General features: G+C 44.0%; 1 protein-coding gene and 1 long non-coding RNA gene across 55 annotated transcripts in view, besides 6 other annotated features; one reads left to right on the forward strand and one right to left on the reverse strand.

Moving 5' to 3' along the window:
• Positions 1–16159, reverse strand: part of PDK1-AS1 (PDK1 and ITGA6 antisense RNA 1) — a 92199-nt gene extending 76040 nt beyond the window's left edge. For 22 of the 23 annotated variants that reach the window (NR_199651.1, NR_199654.1, NR_199653.1 and 19 more), the window contains exon 1: positions 15784–16159. This is a non-coding gene — a long non-coding RNA (PDK1 and ITGA6 antisense RNA 1). The remainder of the gene's footprint in view (positions 1–15783) is intronic. The other variant, NR_199660.1, reaches the window with a different exon arrangement.
• Positions 8526–9268: an enhancer, noted in NCBI's record as "NANOG-H3K27ac hESC enhancer chr2:173413559-173414301 (GRCh37/hg19 assembly coordinates)". NCBI's record gives its function as "activates a minimal SCP1, AML or CMV promoter by ChIP-STARR-seq in naive H9 embryonic stem cells {active_cell/tissue: H9 hESC(naive)}" and the evidence as "EXISTENCE:reporter gene assay evidence [ECO:0000049][PMID:30033119]".
• Positions 9269–10010: an enhancer, noted in NCBI's record as "NANOG-H3K27ac hESC enhancer chr2:173414302-173415043 (GRCh37/hg19 assembly coordinates)". NCBI's record gives its function as "activates a minimal SCP1, AML or CMV promoter by ChIP-STARR-seq in naive H9 embryonic stem cells {active_cell/tissue: H9 hESC(naive)}" and the evidence as "EXISTENCE:reporter gene assay evidence [ECO:0000049][PMID:30033119]".
• Positions 12516–12810: an enhancer, noted in NCBI's record as "tiled region #4236; K562 Activating DNase matched - State 5:Enh". NCBI's record gives its function as "activates a minimal TATA promoter and a strong SV40 promoter by Sharpr-MPRA in K562 cells {active_cell/tissue: K562}" and the evidence as "EXISTENCE:reporter gene assay evidence [ECO:0000049][PMID:27701403]".
• Positions 12516–12810: a silencer, noted in NCBI's record as "tiled region #4236; HepG2 Repressive non-DNase unmatched - State 23:Low". NCBI's record gives its function as "weakly represses a minimal TATA promoter and a strong SV40 promoter by Sharpr-MPRA in HepG2 cells {active_cell/tissue: HepG2}" and the evidence as "EXISTENCE:reporter gene assay evidence [ECO:0000049][PMID:27701403]".
• The window catches only part of PDK1 (pyruvate dehydrogenase kinase 1), a 168940-nt gene continuing 167777 nt past the window's right edge, over positions 15068–16230 (forward strand). For 29 of the 32 annotated variants that reach the window (XR_007076395.1, XR_007076402.1, XR_007076394.1 and 26 more), the window contains exon 1: positions 15785–16041. Coding sequence is in view for 6 of the 32 variants with exons in the window: in NM_001278549.2 (NP_001265478.1) it covers positions 15846–16041 (196 nt within the window). In the remaining 26 variants the exon portion in view is untranslated. Of the gene's footprint in view, positions 15415–15784; positions 16042–16230 lie in introns of those variants that run through there. The other 3 variants (NR_103731.1, XM_011511343.3, XM_011511345.4) reach the window with 1 other exon arrangement.
• Positions 15127–15276: an enhancer, noted in NCBI's record as "active region_16763". NCBI's record gives its function as "activates an Ori minimal core promoter by ATAC-STARR-seq in GM12878 lymphoblastoid cells {active_cell/tissue: GM12878}" and the evidence as "EXISTENCE:reporter gene assay evidence [ECO:0000049][PMID:35858748]".
• Positions 15457–16186: a silencer, noted in NCBI's record as "silent region_12111". NCBI's record gives its function as "represses an Ori minimal core promoter by ATAC-STARR-seq in GM12878 lymphoblastoid cells {active_cell/tissue: GM12878}" and the evidence as "EXISTENCE:reporter gene assay evidence [ECO:0000049][PMID:35858748]".

The raw sequence follows: 16230 nt of genomic DNA on the forward strand, positions 1-16230 counted from the left end.
ACATCACTGCTCCCCAGCCTGAGCGACACAGCAAGACTGTGTCTCAAAAAAAAAAAAAAATCTTATAACTAGTGGATCTTCTTCTGTCTGTGTAGTTATGCATGTGATATGTATGTGATGTTTATATAAAAAAGAGCTCCAATTAATTGGATTAAGTAAAAATAAGCACTTAGATCAAATATTTTTAAAGAAAAAATAGAAGCTGTAATCCCTTTTAGTTCATGTGACTTTAATCTTTGAGAAATAAAAAAAGTCTTAAAGGTTATATGACAAATGTCTTCAAAATGTAAATATGTGGTCTAAATTATGCAGGTCAAATACTTGGATTACTAAATACTTTAAGGTCAAAAACTGCTTCTTTGGCTTTTGAAAGTTGTTAAGACTTGCCTGCTTTACAGTTTAAGGCCTGGGGACATATGGATTTAACTGTACCCCTAACTATGCTGGAAAGACACCTTACCTGTGCCTAGTACATAATTAAAATAACTAACCAGGTTTTACATTAACACTAAAAATATCTAAGAGTTACCATTATAACATGTAACGGAGGCTACCGAAAATAGATTTACATGGAAGGTGTAAGAGAAAAGTAAAATATGTTTTTAGTAAAAGATTATAAGAAGGCATGGGAATGTAAATTTTTGCCTAGAGGGTTAAAGGATTGTTTTAAATTAAAGGTTTGAACAAGTTGTGGAAGGTCTGTAAAAATTAACTTTGTAAAAGAAATCTTGTGTGTAAATGTATTGACTAAATTCAAGAGTATTATTTGGTTTTTCCACAAATAGAACATGGGAATAAAAGGAAAACAAGGTTTTCTAAAGGCACTGATCTGCTCTTTAACAAAAATGTGTAAAGAGTTATAAAAGGCTTATAAGAGGATGGGCGCAGTGGCTCATGCCTGTAATCCCAGCACTTTGGGAGGCTGAGGTGGTCGGATCGCCCAACCCCATGTCAGGAGTTCGAGACCAGCCTGGCCAACACAGCGAAACCCCATCTCTACTAAAAATACAAAAATTAGCCAAGTATGGTGGTGGGTGCCTGTAATCCCAGCTACTCAAGAGGCTGAGGTAGAAGAACTGCTTGAACCAGGGAGGCGGAGGTTGTAGTGAGCTGAGATCGTGCCACCGCACTCCAGCCTGGGCAACAGATCGAGACTCTGTCTCAAAAAAAAAAAAAAAAAAATGGTTTATAAGAATCTCACCTGACAGATGAACAGGTTAAGATTTGATAGAATTACCTATAAGGTTTTTTGTTGTTGTTTTTGAGGCAGAGTCTCACTCTGTCACTACCCAGGCTGGAGTGTTGTGGTACAATCTCACTGCAACCTCCGCCTACTGGGTTCAAGTGATTCTCCTGTCTCAGATTCCTGAGTAGCTCGGATTACAGGTGGGTACCACCAGGCCCAGTTAATTTTTGCATTTTTAATAGAGACAAGGTCTGTCCATGTTGGCCAGGCTGTTCTCGAACTCCTGGTCTCAAATGATCCCCTGCCTTTGTCTCCCAAAGTGCTGAGATTACAGGTGTGAGGCACCACCCCCAGCCTATAAGGTTTCGTTTTTTAAAAATTAAGGCTGACATTAATAGAAGACTAATGTAAGGGTGGAATTTGGCTTTCTCTCTCTTAAACAAGATTTTCACGTAATATAATTAAAGGATAATGAAAGACTTTTGTTTGTCTTGCAAATAAGCTACTGAAAAAAAAAGGAAGGGAGATACAAGAGACAGACTGTTTGGAAACCTAAGTCTTCCCTCTAAATGAGTAAAGGTTTTTGCTTTTTAAAAAAATTTTTGGGCTGACTCTCTTTTTGGACTCAGCTCGCCTGCACCCAGGTGATTAAAAAGCTTTATTGCTCACACAAAGCCTGTTTGGTGGTCTCTTCACATGGACGTGAGTGAAATTTGGTGCCATGACTCAGATCGGGGGACCTCCCTTGGGAGATCAATCCCCTGTCCTCCTGCTCTTTGTTCTGTGAGAAAGATCCACCTACGACCTCTGGTCCCCAGACCAACTAGCCCAAGGAACATCTCACCAATTTTAAATCCAGTAAGTGGCCTCTTTTTACTCTCTTCTACAACCTCTCTCACTATCCCTCAACCTCTTTCTCCTTTAAATCTTGGCGTCACACTTCAGTCTCTCCCTTCTCTTAATTTCAGTTCCTTTCCTTTTCTGGTAGAGATGAAGGAGACACGTTTTATCCGTGGACCCAAAACTCCGGCGCCAGTCAAGGACTGGGGAAGACAGTCTTCTCTTGGTGTTTAATCACGCGGAGACGCCTGCCTGATTATTCACCTAAGTTTCAGAGGTGTCTGACCATGCAGGGACGCCTGCCTTGGTCCGTCACCCTTAGCAGCAAGTACCGCTTTTCTGGGGGGCAAGAACCCCCCAACCCCTTCTCTCCGTGTCTCTACCCCTTCTCCACTTTTCTGGCGGGCAAGAACCCCCCAACCCCTTCTCCTTCACCCTTAGCAGCAAGTACCACTTTTCTAGGGGGCAAGAACCCCTCAACCCCTTCTCCTTCACTCTTAGTGGCAAGTACTGCTTTTCTAGGGGGCAGGAACCCCCCGACCCCTTCTCTCTGTCTTTACCCCTTCTCTGCTTTTCTGGGGGTCAAGAACCCCCCACCCCTTCTCTCCGTGTCTCTACTCTCTCTTTTCTCTGGGCTTGCCTCCTTCACTATGGGCAAGCTTCCACCCTCCATTCCCCCTTCTTCTCCCTTAGCCTGTGTTCTTAAAAACCTAAAACCTCTTCAACAAACACCTGACCTAAAACCTAAATGCCTTATTTCCTTCTGCAATGCCACTTGACCCAATACAAACTCAACAGTGGTTCCAAATAGCGAGAAAATAGCACTTTCAATTTTTCCATCCTATGAGATCTAAATAATTCTTGCCGTAAAATAGGCAAACGGTCTGAGGTGCCTGACGTCCAGGCATTCTTTTACACGTCGGTCCCTCCCTAGTTTCTGTTCCCAATGCAACTTGTCCCAAATCTTCCTTCTTTCTCTCCCGCCTGTCCCCTTAGTCCCAACCCCAAGCATCGCTGAGTCTTTCTAATATTCCTTTTCTACAGACCCATCTGACCTCTCCCCTCCTCGCCAGGCTGAGCTAGGTCCCAATTCTTCCTCAGCCTCTGCTCCTCCACCCTATTATCCTTTTTATCACCTCCCCTCCTCACACCAGGTCCGGCTCACAGTTTCGTTCTGAGACTAGCCCTCCCCCACCTGCCCAGCAATTTCCTCTTAAAAAGGTGGCTGGAGCTAAAGGCACAATCAAGGTTAATGCTCCTTTTTCTTTATCCCAAATTAGAGAGCATTTAGGCTCTTTTTCAACAGATATAAGAACCCAGCCCAGTTCATGGCTCATTTAGCAGCAACCCTGAGACGCTTTACAGCCCTAGACCCTAAAAGGTCAAAAGGACGTCTTATTCTCAATATACATTTTATTATCCAATCTGCTCCCGACATTAAATAAAACTCCAAAAATTAAATTCCAGCCCTCAAACCCCACAACAGGACTTAATTAACCTCGCCTTCAAGGTGTACAATAATAGAGTAGAGGCAGCCAAGTAGCAACATATTTCTGAGTTGCAATTCCTTGCCTCCACTGTGAGACAAACCCCAGCCACATCTCCACACACAAAAACTTCCAAATGCCTAAACCACAGTGGCCAGGCATTCCTTCAGGCCCGCCTCCCCCAGAAGCTTGCTACAAGTGCCAGAAATCTGGCCACCAGGCCAAGGAATGCCCACAGCCCAGAATTCCTCCTAAGCTGCGTCCAATCTGTGCAGGACCCCACTGAAAATCGGACAGTTCAACTCACCTGGCAGCCACTCGCAGAGCCCCTGGCTCTCTGACTGACTCCTTCCCAGATCTTCTCGGCTTAGTGGCTGAAGACTGACACTGCCCGATCACCTTGGAAGCCCCCTAGACCATCACAGACGCCGAGTTTCAGGTAACTCTCACAGTGAAAGGAGAAATTTGAACTAAGATGGAAAGGCTCATGGCAGGCCCTCAGAACCTAGATCAGGGATGGACCTTTTCTGCTGTCCAGAGTCTCCTGTTGTTGTTCTTCAGATCACCAGACTGGACCCTTTGGATACTGACAGCAGCTCAGCTTGGGCCCAGCACTATTCACAATGGCAAGGACTTGGAACCAACCCAAATGCCCATCAATTATAGACTAGGTAAAGAAAATGTGGCACATATACATCATGGAATACTATGCAGCCATAATAAAGGATGAGTTCATGTCCTTTGCAGGGACATGGATGAAACTGGAAACCATCATTCTCAGCAAAGTAACACAAGAAGAGAAAACCAAACACCGCATGTTCTCACTCATAAGTGGGATTTGAACAATGAGAATACATGGACACAGGGAGGGGAACATCACACACTGAGGCCTGTTGAGGGGTGGAGGGCTTGGGGAGGGATAGCATTAGGAGAAATACCTAATGCAAATGACGAATTGATGGGTGCAGCAAACCAACATGGGACATGTACACGTATGTAACAAACCTGCATGTTGTGCCTATGTACCCCAGAACTTAAAGTATAATAATAAAAAAAGAATGGATCGTATGATTAAAGAAATAAAGATATATAACATTAAAATTTTGAGCCATCATTTTAGGTAAATAAATGATTTATGATAACCTGGAATTCTATTTCATAATATCAAGTGTTCTAAATCTTTAACATATTTGATAGGCTTCCCAAAATCAAACTTCAACTTCAAAATTCTCTTTCCTGACTCCCAACTTTTAGCTGCTACAGAGGGCCCCTGAAGCACCCAAAAGAGAAATAAACAGGATTATCTGACATGTTTAGTTACACAGCATTGTCAAAATAAAAATTATGTTTAACTTCTTCAGGTTATATTTTAGTATATCATATTAAAATATGTTCCAAAATTGTATTGGATTTCTAAAATTCTAATGTTTGAGTATATGCTATCAATCATAATTAGAGTTACTATGTTAAGTTATTATAAACCACAATAATAACCAAATTTCTTTGTTAATCCTGTTTTTGACTGTAACTACCCTGGACATTTTGTTATTCAGAGACAACTGTTGTCTTGTTTTGATCCTTTTCAAAAGATGGTTTATAATCAGCTATAGGACTTTGACACGTGCTCTTAAATAAAGGTTTCTGATAACTTGGGAGATTGTGACATTGGAATAGAGGAAAACAATATAGGATTCATGAAGAGCTGAATTGCAGAATAAGAGTTAACAAAATGGACTGAACTAATAGAAAACTGAAGTAATCCTTTTTAATTTTTTGCTTAAAATGTTGCTGAACCTTTTGTTTTTCAAAGCCAGGAAAACTTTTATTTTCAGCTATTTACAACTTTTAACAATTGAGTAAGGTATACTCCTGCAAACAAAATTTGGAGCATATTTGTTTCTCTCTGCCTGGTTTCTCCAAAATTTGGAAGCTAGATGCAAATATTCTTAACTTATAGCAATATAATGTTCTGCATAAGCGCAATAAGAATCCATTTTCTTTTGCAACAAGATGCAATTGGAGAAACTGGTTCTTTTACCAAGGCTTTTACTAAAAGGGTGTGGTTCCCTCTAGGGAATCAAGCTTGACTTGCAGAGGCAATAAAGCTTGCAAGTTTTCCCTCAGGAAAGCTTGCCTCATGCCTTGTCTACACAATCTCCATACAGGTTTGGTGAGTTAGAAATGTCACTTTCTAACAGGGCTAGGAGCCCCAAGTCATCTTGGGCCCTCAAGAAGAGAGAAATGTACCCAATTCATAGGTATTTAAGAGTACAAACCCATGGCTGGGCTGGGCTTTAAAAAGTGTCAACTGAGCTTCCTTAGAGAACAGGGTTTCATCAGAGCCAATTTTTAAAAGCCTATGTGAAAATAATTATTCTTGCTGCACTTTATGCAAATAATCAGGCCAAGTATGAAACTAAACTCAGTTTTGCAAACAATTCAGTCCTATCATGATTTGTTTTAACAAAAATGAGGACTGGAGAGAGAGCAATTATGTTTCAAAACTTATACACTTGTCATTCTATTCTAGTCTCATTATTAGTAGTTTTTAAGTTTTTGTCTGCATTTTAGACTAACCCTGCTTATTCCTGTGAACTAACCAGTGATCTCTGGCTGCAGTTCAGAAGAGAAAAAAGGGATGGGTAATGTAAAAATCTGAAACAATTTTTAAGTTCTGGGCAATCATTCTGCAAGTCCTGCCAGGTGACAGGAGTAAATAGGGTGTCTATAACCCAGCAGTTTCGTTTTTGGGAAAATAAGACCAAAGGAGCTAACCAAAGCTAAGCCCATGCACTCAAATCTTAGCAGGCATAACCATAGCCCCCAGTTATCTGGGCGTGTCAGCAGCCTCAGGATTTTGGAGCTGCCCTTATCCCCCCTCTTTTGTTTTGTTTTGATACATGTCCTCTTTTTTTCTTTTTTTCAAGATGGAGTCTTGCTTGCTCTGTCACCCAGGCTGGAGTACGATGGCGCAATTTCATCTCACTGCAACCTCCGCCCCCTGGGTTCAAGCAATTCTCCTGCCTCAGCCTCCTAAGTAGCTGGGATTACAGGCACATGCCACCACGCCCAGCTAATTTTTTGTATTTTTAGTAGAGATGGGGTTTCTTTTTTTGTTTGTTTTTGAGATGGAGTCTTGCTCTGTCGCCCAGGCTGGAGTGCAGTGGCGTGATTTTGGCTCACTGCAAGCTCTGCCTCCCAGGTTCACGCCATTCTCCTGCCTCAGCCTCCCGAGTAGCTGGGACTACAGGCACCCACAACCACGCCTGGCTGATTTTTTGTATTTTTAGTAGAGACAGGGTTTCACCATGTCAGCCAGGATGGTCTCGATCTCCTGACCTCGTGATCTGCCTGCCTCGGCCTCCCAAAGTGCTGGGATTACAGGCGTGAGCCACCGCGCCTGGCCAAGACGGGGTTTCACCATGTTGGCCAGGCTGGTCTCAAACGCCTGACCTTATGATCCGCCTGTCTCAGGCTCCCAAAGTGTTTGGATTACAGGCATGAGCCACTGTGCCTGGCCTGACATATGTCTTCTAATATGTCTCTTCTTGACTTCAGGTTATCAAACTCCAAACTGTAATGCAACCGCAGCTTCAGACAATGGCTCCCTTTTACCGGGGACCCTTAAATAGGCCTCTGAGGGAGATCTGACTGCCATCTTCCCAAAACAGCGGCCCCTGTCAGCAGGAAGCAGTTAAGTTCAGTCTTCATTTCTATTCTAATGGCAGTTAGATGTACCTCCTCAGAGAGGGGAATGGATAGCAGCAGGAGGCAGAAAAATGCCTAGGCAGACAGGGACAGGTAACTGGTGAAACCCCACCTCCAAGCCAAAGACAATTTAAAGCCTAAGAACCAAGTTATAAGTCAAATCCATGAACCAGATTAAGAACCTGTCTTCCAGTTTGGCATGCTTTCCTCTGATTTACCCCTACCCTTCACCTACTTTACATACACCTACCCCTTCCCTAATGGGTTTTTTACAGTCATGCCCACCTTTGATTCATGCCTGTGTTTTAATCTTTTTTGCATATTCACAAACCAGCACGTACTCCCCTATTCTGAGCCCATAAAAGCCCTGGACTCAGCCACACTGGGAAAGAAACCGCCCAACTTCAAGTGGGGGACCACCCCCATGTCCTGCCTCTATTGAGAGCTCTTCTCTTGCTCAATACAATTCTTTTCCGCCCTCCTCACCCTTCAATTGTCAGAGTACGCGCATTCTTCTTGGACACAGGACAAGAACTTAGGGACCGCTGTATGTGGGTACGAGCTATAACACAGGGGGGCTGGGGCCCAGCCTGGGTGGGTCGAAGGGCAGGCCACCTCCTAGGGGCAGGTAGTGTGCCCCACCAAAGCCTGGAGGGGGCATCACCAGCCAGAGGTCTCCAGCTGGCAAAGTGACCAAGAAAAATCCTGCATCAACATCAGACAAAATAGTGTCCAGTTATTTAAAGACATTTGAACTGAGTTTTTTGTGCTTGAGTCTGAAAGAGGCCTGGCAAATACAAAGTAAAAATCTGTCAACACAAATGTCAGGCCTCTGAGCCCAAGCTAAGCCATCATATCCCCTGTGACCTGCAAGTACACATCCAGATGGCCGGTTCCTGCCTTAACTGATGACATTCCACCACAAAAGAAGTGAAAATGGCCTGTTCCTGCCTTAACTGATGACATTGTCTTGTGAAATTCCTTCTCCTGGCTCATCCTGGCTCAAAAGCTCCCCCAATGAGTACCCTGTGAACCCCACTCCTGCCAATCAGAGAACAACCCCCCTTTGACTATAATTTTACTTTACCTACCCAAATCTTATAAAATGGCCCCATCCTTATATCCCTTTGCTGACTCTCCTTTCGGACTTAGCCCGCCTGCACCCAGGTGATTAAAAGCTTTATTGCTCACACAAAGCCTGTTTGGTGGTCTCTTCACACAGATGTGAGTGAAAACCATTGCACCTCTGAAAGGATTAACAAAATAAAATAAGTATTTGGTTATTCTGCCCCTCCTTAGTTGGTTTACCCAATGAGCTTCTCCCTTGTAAACCAAAAATAAAATTCGGCTGGGGCAGTGGCTCAGGCCTGTAATCCCACCACTTTGGGAGGCGAGGTGGGCAAATCATCTGAGGTCAGTAGTTCAAGACCAGCCTGACCAACAGGGTGAAACCCCATCTCTACTAAAATTACAAAAATTAGCCAGGTGTGGTGGCACATACTTGTAATCACAGCTACTCGGGAGGCTGAGGTTGGAGAATCACTTCAACCCAAGAGGCGGAGGTTGCAGTGAGCTGAGATCATGCCACTACACGTCAGCCTGGGCAACAGAGTGAGACTCTGTCTCAAAAAATATATATATTCTAAACCCTCCAACCAACTGAATGGACCCCTCCTTTTGGCCAAGAGCATTCCAAAGTTAACCTGAGAAACTAGTTCAGGCCATGATGGGAAGGCGGGGTCAGACATGTCTCATTATTCTGTCCTCCCTTCTGGAATTTAGGTACAGCTGACCAGCATTAACATTAACATAGAGATTTTACATCTGACAAAACAGACTGTTTGTAGCCTAAGATACCAACATGACAAGGAGCAGGTTCTGCAAGAAACTAAAGATTTTATCCCAAAATATATTTCTTGACATATTTTGAAATGGCCCTGCAAAGCTGTCTCTTGTGGGGAAAATCTACATTCTACAGAGAATCCTCTTCCCTTTCCAAGTACTTTCCCTGATTCAGAAGGGAATTAACTAACTCTGGCACCTTTTTAAAGTCTGATAAGAAACAGTTACAAGGTTGGGCACAGTGGCTCACGTCTGTAATCCCAGAACTTTGGGAGGCCGAGGACTCCCAAACTCTGTAAAATATTTGAAGAGATTTATTCCGAGCCAAATATGAGTGACCATGGCCCCGTGACACAGCTCTCAGGAGGTCCTCAGAACATGTGCCCAAGGTGATTGGGGCACAGTTTGGTTTTATACATTTTAGGGAGGCATGAGACATCAATCAAATACATTTAAGAAATACATTGGTTTAGTCCTGAAAGGTAGGACAATTCAAAGTTGGGGCTTCCAGGCTATAGGTAAATTTAAACATTTTCTGATTTACAATTGGTTGAGTTTATCTAAAGACCTGAGATCACAGAAAGGAAATGTTCAGGTTAAGATAAAGGATTGTGGAGACCAAGGTTCTTTTGAAGTTTTATTGTGGCTGCCCTCAGAGACAACAGATGACAAACGTTTCCTATTCAGATCTTTAAAAGGTGCTAGACTTTAAGTTAATCTTTTTAGGATTGGGAGGGCCTGGAAGTAAAAGATCTAGCTATGTTAATAGAGATTCTTTACTGATGCAAATTTTCCCCCACAAAAGACAGATTTGCAGGGCCATTTCAAGATATGGCAAAAAAACATGTTTTGGGATAAAATATTTTGCTTTTCTTCCTTGTCATGTAATGTTATTCCAGAGTCAGGGTGAAAAGTAAGTCTCGATATATAGGGTTAAATAAAACCCATCTGATGAGAATTTATGGTTTGTAGGGCATGACTCCCCAGAACTCTTAGATAGGAATTTGGGCAAGATAAAAAAATCAGAATTTACTCCTCAGTAGCAACACATGACAGATAGCAGGTCCTGAAATAAACTGAAGTGTTTTACTACAAAACATATTTTTTTGACATATTTTGAACTAGCCCTGCAAAGCTATTTCTTCTGGGGAAAATCTATATTCTGTAGAGGATCCCCTTCCCTTTCCAGGTTTTTCCTTTTAAGGTCTGACACCTTTTTAGGTCTGATAAGAGACATTTACTATCTGTTCTCTCTGAAGCCTGCTATGTGGGACCTTTATCTGTGTAATAAGAATCTTGGTCTCCACAACCCCTTGTCTTAATCCAGACACTCCTTTCAATTGATCCTAGGTCTTGAGATAGTAACTTAACTCTTTCAACCAATTGCCAGTCAGAAAATCTTTGACTCTCCCTATAACCTGGAAGCCCCCTCCTGCCACAAGTTTCCCAATCCCCCTATATTACGTCTTAAAGTTGTCCTGCCTTTTCAGACCAAAGCAGTGTACGCTTTACATGTACTGAGTGATGTCTGCCTGCAACTTCTGTTCCCCTAAAACTGTACACAATCAAGCTATGACCCGACCACCTTGGGCACATGTTTTCAGGACCTCTTGGGACTGTGCCTCAGGCCTTGGTCACTCACATTTGGCTCGGAATAAATCTCTTAAAATATTTTACAGAGTTTGAGTCTTTTTTTTAAATCAACAGTTCAAATAAATTTTTAAAACTTTTAATGTGCCCAAATTTATCTTTTAACATTACCAGTCTCAGTTTGTGAAAGTCTAGAGTTCTCCCTGTCCATGTCTGTAAATTCTTGAGGCTCATAGTCTCATTTATAGTACCCCCCACCCCACCACCACTCAGACTCTTTGTGTGCAAAGTCTATCTCCATTGCCACAAACTCTCATAAAAAAAATTCATCCTTTCCTCCAATTTTCACAAAAGCACAACACATAAAAGCTTCAGTATCCAATAATCTCTCTTTTTTTGCAAACTTTACTGAAGGTTTGGGTTATAAGGAGTGCTCACATTGTGAACAGTCTTTGCAATCTTCTGCCTCCTCCCCTTCCCCTTTGCTCTACAAAGTGAATTCCTCTCCTTGCTTCCTGTAAAGCTGTTCTGAGCCTTCCCTACAGATCTCTCCTTCCACTCCATCAGCATTTCAAAGCACTTACTCCAGATAAAAACTATGTTTGTGCTAAATAAATCCTGGTGAATAGGATGCCCTCATATCACTACACAAGTAATTACCTGAATCAAAGTACCCTTTAAAGAAAGAAGGCAAATGTATATGGAGAAAAATTATGCTTCAGTGGAATATTACGTATTGTTTAGAGCACAACTTTTCAGGGTATCTGATTCCAATTCACTGTCTTTGAGCTATTTTACAACTCTGTAAATTGCAGATAAATGGTAACAACGCACATAATTCTTACCTATACATGTGCAAATAAATTCTGTCAGGTAGAAGGGCAACCCTCCCTGATTCCCAAGGAAAGAGCCAGTTTTACAGCCTTTGCAAATTTTTCTGAATTCCTGTTTTTTCACTTCTCCTTTGAACTGGCTATAATATCTTTACTGGTTCCCTCATTTAATTAATGTATTAAATAAAATTTTTGACACATGTTCATTTTATAGCTGCATGAGAGTCATTATTTTACCTTTTTTGAAAATTATCTTTCCAGCATATCAAAAAGGGTTCTAGGGCAGGAAATGATAGCACACTCAAAAGGGAAATTGATTAATTAATTAATGAAGGGACTATTTACAGGAGTGTGGGCAGAATTAAACCTCCAGGGCTGGTGAGCACCCAATCAGCAACAGAGAAAAATTAGTACTATCTCTATGGATACTGGACAAGGGTAGGAAGCTATGGCCACACTTAGAGGAACACAAATTATAGCTTGGAAGAAAAGAAGCAGGGGGAAAAAATATGACTTTTCTTTCCTTTTGTCTTCTGAACCTCATGAAGCCAGAGGGTACTGGGGACAAGGTGACACAGTCTAGCTTGTTTTGTATTGCTTTTTCCATTCCTTTCAGTCACATCAGTCCAACATGGATCACAAATTCTCAGTGAATTTACAGGGGCTGGCTCATGTCTGCTATGTAAAAATTTTTTTATAGAAGCTTACAGTATGATTACACTTTATATCTACATGTGTGTCTTAGTCTGTTAGTGGTGCTGTAACAAAATACAGTCTGGATAATTTATAAATGACAGAAATTAGTTTTCTTACAGTTCTAGAGGCTGTGAAGTTCAAGATCAAGATGCCGGAACTCAGTGTCTCATAAGGGCTTTCTTGCTGTGTCCTCATGTAACCATCCAATAGGTTTTTCTTGCCTGCTGACCAGATAGAGCCAATTTATCAAGACAAAGAGTTTAGTGCATGTGGAGCTGGCTAAACAGAAGATGAGTTTTATTACTACTCAAATTAACCTCCTGAAAATTCAGAGGCTAGGGTTTTTTTATAGTTTGGCAGACAGCAGGCTATAGAATGGGGAATGCTGATTGGTTGGGTCAGGAATAAAATTATAGGGAGTCGAAGCTGTCATCTTATGCTGAGTCAGTTTCTGGAGGGGGCCACAAGACCAGATGAGTCATTTTACTTATCTGTGTGGTTCCAGCTGGTCCACTGGAATTCAGGATTTGAAAAATAACTCAAACACCAATGTTAGGTTTTATAATAGCAATGTTATCTATAGGAGCAATTGTGGAGGTTGGTGATCTTGTGGACTCTGGCTGCATGACTCCTGAGCTATAATTTCTAATCTTCTAGTTAATTTGTTAGTTTACTTATTTTTTGAGACAAGGTCTCGCTCTGTCACACAGGCAGAAATGCAGTGGCAGGATCTTGGCTCACTGCAAACTACACCTCCTGGGCTCAAGTGATGCTCCCCACGAAGCACTACAGGCAAGTGCCACCATGCCCAGCTAATTTTGTTCATTTTTTGTAGAGACAAGGTCTATGTTGCCCAGGCTGGTCTCGAACTCCTGGACTTACACAATCCTCCCATTTTGGCCTCCCAAAGTGCTGGGATTACAGGCATGAGCCATTGTGCCCTGCCTAATCTGTTAGTTTAACAAAGGTGGTCTGGTCCCCAGGAAAGCTGGGGATTTGTTTCATGGAAGAGCTCTTATCATCTTTGTTTCAAAGTTTGTAATCTAAATTCCTCCCAAAGTTAGTTTGGCCTATGCCCAGGAATAAACAAGGGCAGCTTGGAAGTGAGAAGCAAGATGGAGTTGGTTAGGTCAGATCTCTTTCACTGTCAAAATTTTCTCACTGTTATAATTTTTCAAAGGCAGTTTCACTCACATGGTAGAAGAGATGGTAGGAACTGACTCACCCCCTCACGCCCTTTTATAAGGCTCTGCCCTCATGACTTAATTCTCTCCTAAAGGCTCCACCTCTTAATACTATCACATTGATAATTAAGTTTCAACATAGAAATTTTAGGGGACACATTCAGACCATAACAACAGAGAAGTAATACAGCTGTTTACTAAAGTCCTCAAAGGTTCTCTCCAGTTTCTGGACTCTAAGTCTTTGACTAAGAAGCAAAAGTTGACACCATTTAATATGTACTTTTATATGCACATTCTCTGTATATTGGTTGAAGCATGGTGAATATACTTTGGAGAAAGGAAAAAGCACTTTATACAACAGTTGATTCCTTCCTGAGGGAAAAAAATCTTGCTAAAATAGTCTCAAGGTTTCTGCTGGGCCTTTGTACTTTCACGCAAATTAATGTTCAGCTGAGCATCTTGACATGCTCAGGCAGAAAGCAGCAAAATTGCAAACAGGGATTGAGGGAGCTGAATAATGCTGTGCATGATAAAGTGACAAGACTTTGGAGCTCAGGGAATAATCTAGAAGGAAGGAGATTAGAAAGGAGGAGGCAACCTGAGAGGCTGGGGTAGAGCTGTGGAAATGTTTGAGGGACTATTTTAAGAATGTGTAATATTCAACTTAAAATTGTTTTCTTCTTTCCAACTTAGGTCCCGCAGAAGAAGGGTGGGAAGAAGAAGGGGGCCATTCAGCCATCAATGAGGTGGTGACACCATCAACATTCCCAAGCACATCCCATTGAAACGGACTTCAGGAAGTGTGCCCCTCGGGCACTCAGCAAAGATATCTGGAAATTTGCCAAGAAAGAGATGGGCACTCCAGATGCGCATACTGATACCAGGTTTGACAAAGCTGTCTGGCCAAAAGAATAATGTCCCATACGGTATCCACATGTGGTTGTCCAGAAAAACATAATGCGAATGAAGATTCACTGATATGTGAAAGGAAAATATCACGGGCCACAAAATCACTGAGCTAAAGGGAAAATTCAAGCTGGGAACTGCTCAAGGCAAACCTGCCTCCCATTCTATTCAAAGTCATCCCTCTGCTGAGACAGATGCATATCTGATTGCTTCCTTGGGAAAGGCTTATCAGAAACTCCAAAGACTGCAACCATTTGTCTCTCACCTACTTATAACCTGGAAGCCTTCCTCCCTGCTTCAAGTTGTCCCACCTTTCCGGCAGGAACCAATGTACTTCTTGCATATAGATTGAGGTCTCCTGTCTCCCTGTATAAAACCAAGCTGTTCACCCCTTGGGCACGTGTTCTCAGGACTTCCTGAGGCTGTGTCACGGGCACGCGTCCTCAACCTTGTCAAGATAAACTTTATACATTAACTGAGACTTGTCTCAAACTTTCGGAGTTCACAAAACTATGTACCCGTTACACTTTCTAAAACCAACAGTCAGTGTGGGAGAACTGCTGATACTCGAATACATCAAATAGTTATAAAACCGCCAAAAACCGTTTTCTCTCAAACTTTTGGTAAAATGTGCTTCAGGGAAAACGCAGATTGGTGGTTCTGATAAAATCTTAATAATGAAATAATTTTAAAAAGCAATAATGGTAAAAATAAATCCCATTTATTATCTGGTATGTCCCCGGCATTGTGCTAACACAGATAGCTCTACTACCCATGTCACAGCAACTGAAACAGATAATATGCTCCTTTTTCAGGTAAAGAGACGGAGGCTCAGAGAGGTTAAACAGCTCACTCAAAGGCACAGAGCCAGTACATGGCAGTACATCTCTTCTCCCGGGGCCGCCGTCGCGGTGATACTATTTAGGGCCACACGTCCCAGTGTTCAGCTTTCGTATTTACGTACTACTGTTTGGCAAGCGGGGACTCCTGAAGCTCTCTGACCCTGGAAAATGCGTGGCTTGCGTCACAGAGGAGCGTTTCTGGAACGCGCTCGCAGCACGACACCGCGGTGTGTGCAAGCGGAACGCCGCCCTGTCCTTGAGCCTTTTGGCTGAGATTGGGAGGGCAGAGGAAGCAGGAAGGTGGGATTTGTTTCAAAAGGGTGCGGGAAGGGGACGCTCCATACCGCCTCGCCTCTTAGTGTCCCCAGTCCCATCACCCGACGTGTACGGGGACGGCCGACACGCTCACCCCACACCTCGCCGGCTGGGGCGGGATCTGGGCGGCGGCTGCGGCCTGGCGCGCGCTCCGCATCTCCTTCCTCGGGAGGCTGGGCGGGACTCCGGCGAGGGGGCGGGCCCCGCAAGCGCCCGCCCCTTTTCTCTCCCCGCCTCCTTCCCGCTCCGCGTCCCGCCCAGCGGCGCAGGGGGCCGGGCTCCGGCTAGGAGGGTGGGGGCCGCGCCGGTGACAGCCGATCCCCGCCCCTGCTGCCCGCCACGTCCCTCACGTACCACTCGGCAGAGGCGCGGGGAAACCTGGCGTACTGGCTGTGGCTTCTCTAGCGGGACTCGGCATGAGGCTGGCGCGGCTGCTTCGCGGAGCCGCCTTGGCCGGCCCGGGCCCGGGGCTGCGCGCCGCCGGCTTCAGCCGCAGCTTCAGCTCGGACTCGGGCTCCAGCCCGGCGTCCGAGCGCGGCGTTCCGGGCCAGGTGGACTTCTACGCGCGCTTCTCGCCGTCCCCGCTCTCCATGAAGCAGTTCCTGGACTTCGGTGAGTGCGGCCCGGGACCTTGGGCCTTTTTGCGCGGTCCCGGGCGGGGAGCTGCGGCCGCTGCCCCAGGCCGGGTCGGCGCCGGCCAGCTCTCGCCTGAGGCGCACCCCTCCTCCTCAGCGTTTCCGCCCCCAGCGCCTTAGGTGCTTCCTTCCTCCCTCCGAAGTGCCGGCGCTGGCTGGCGGCGTA

Source organism: Homo sapiens, chromosome 2, assembly GCF_000001405.40.
Source record: "Homo sapiens chromosome 2, GRCh38.p14 Primary Assembly".
Lineage (NCBI taxonomy): Eukaryota > Metazoa > Chordata > Mammalia > Primates > Hominidae > Homo > Homo sapiens.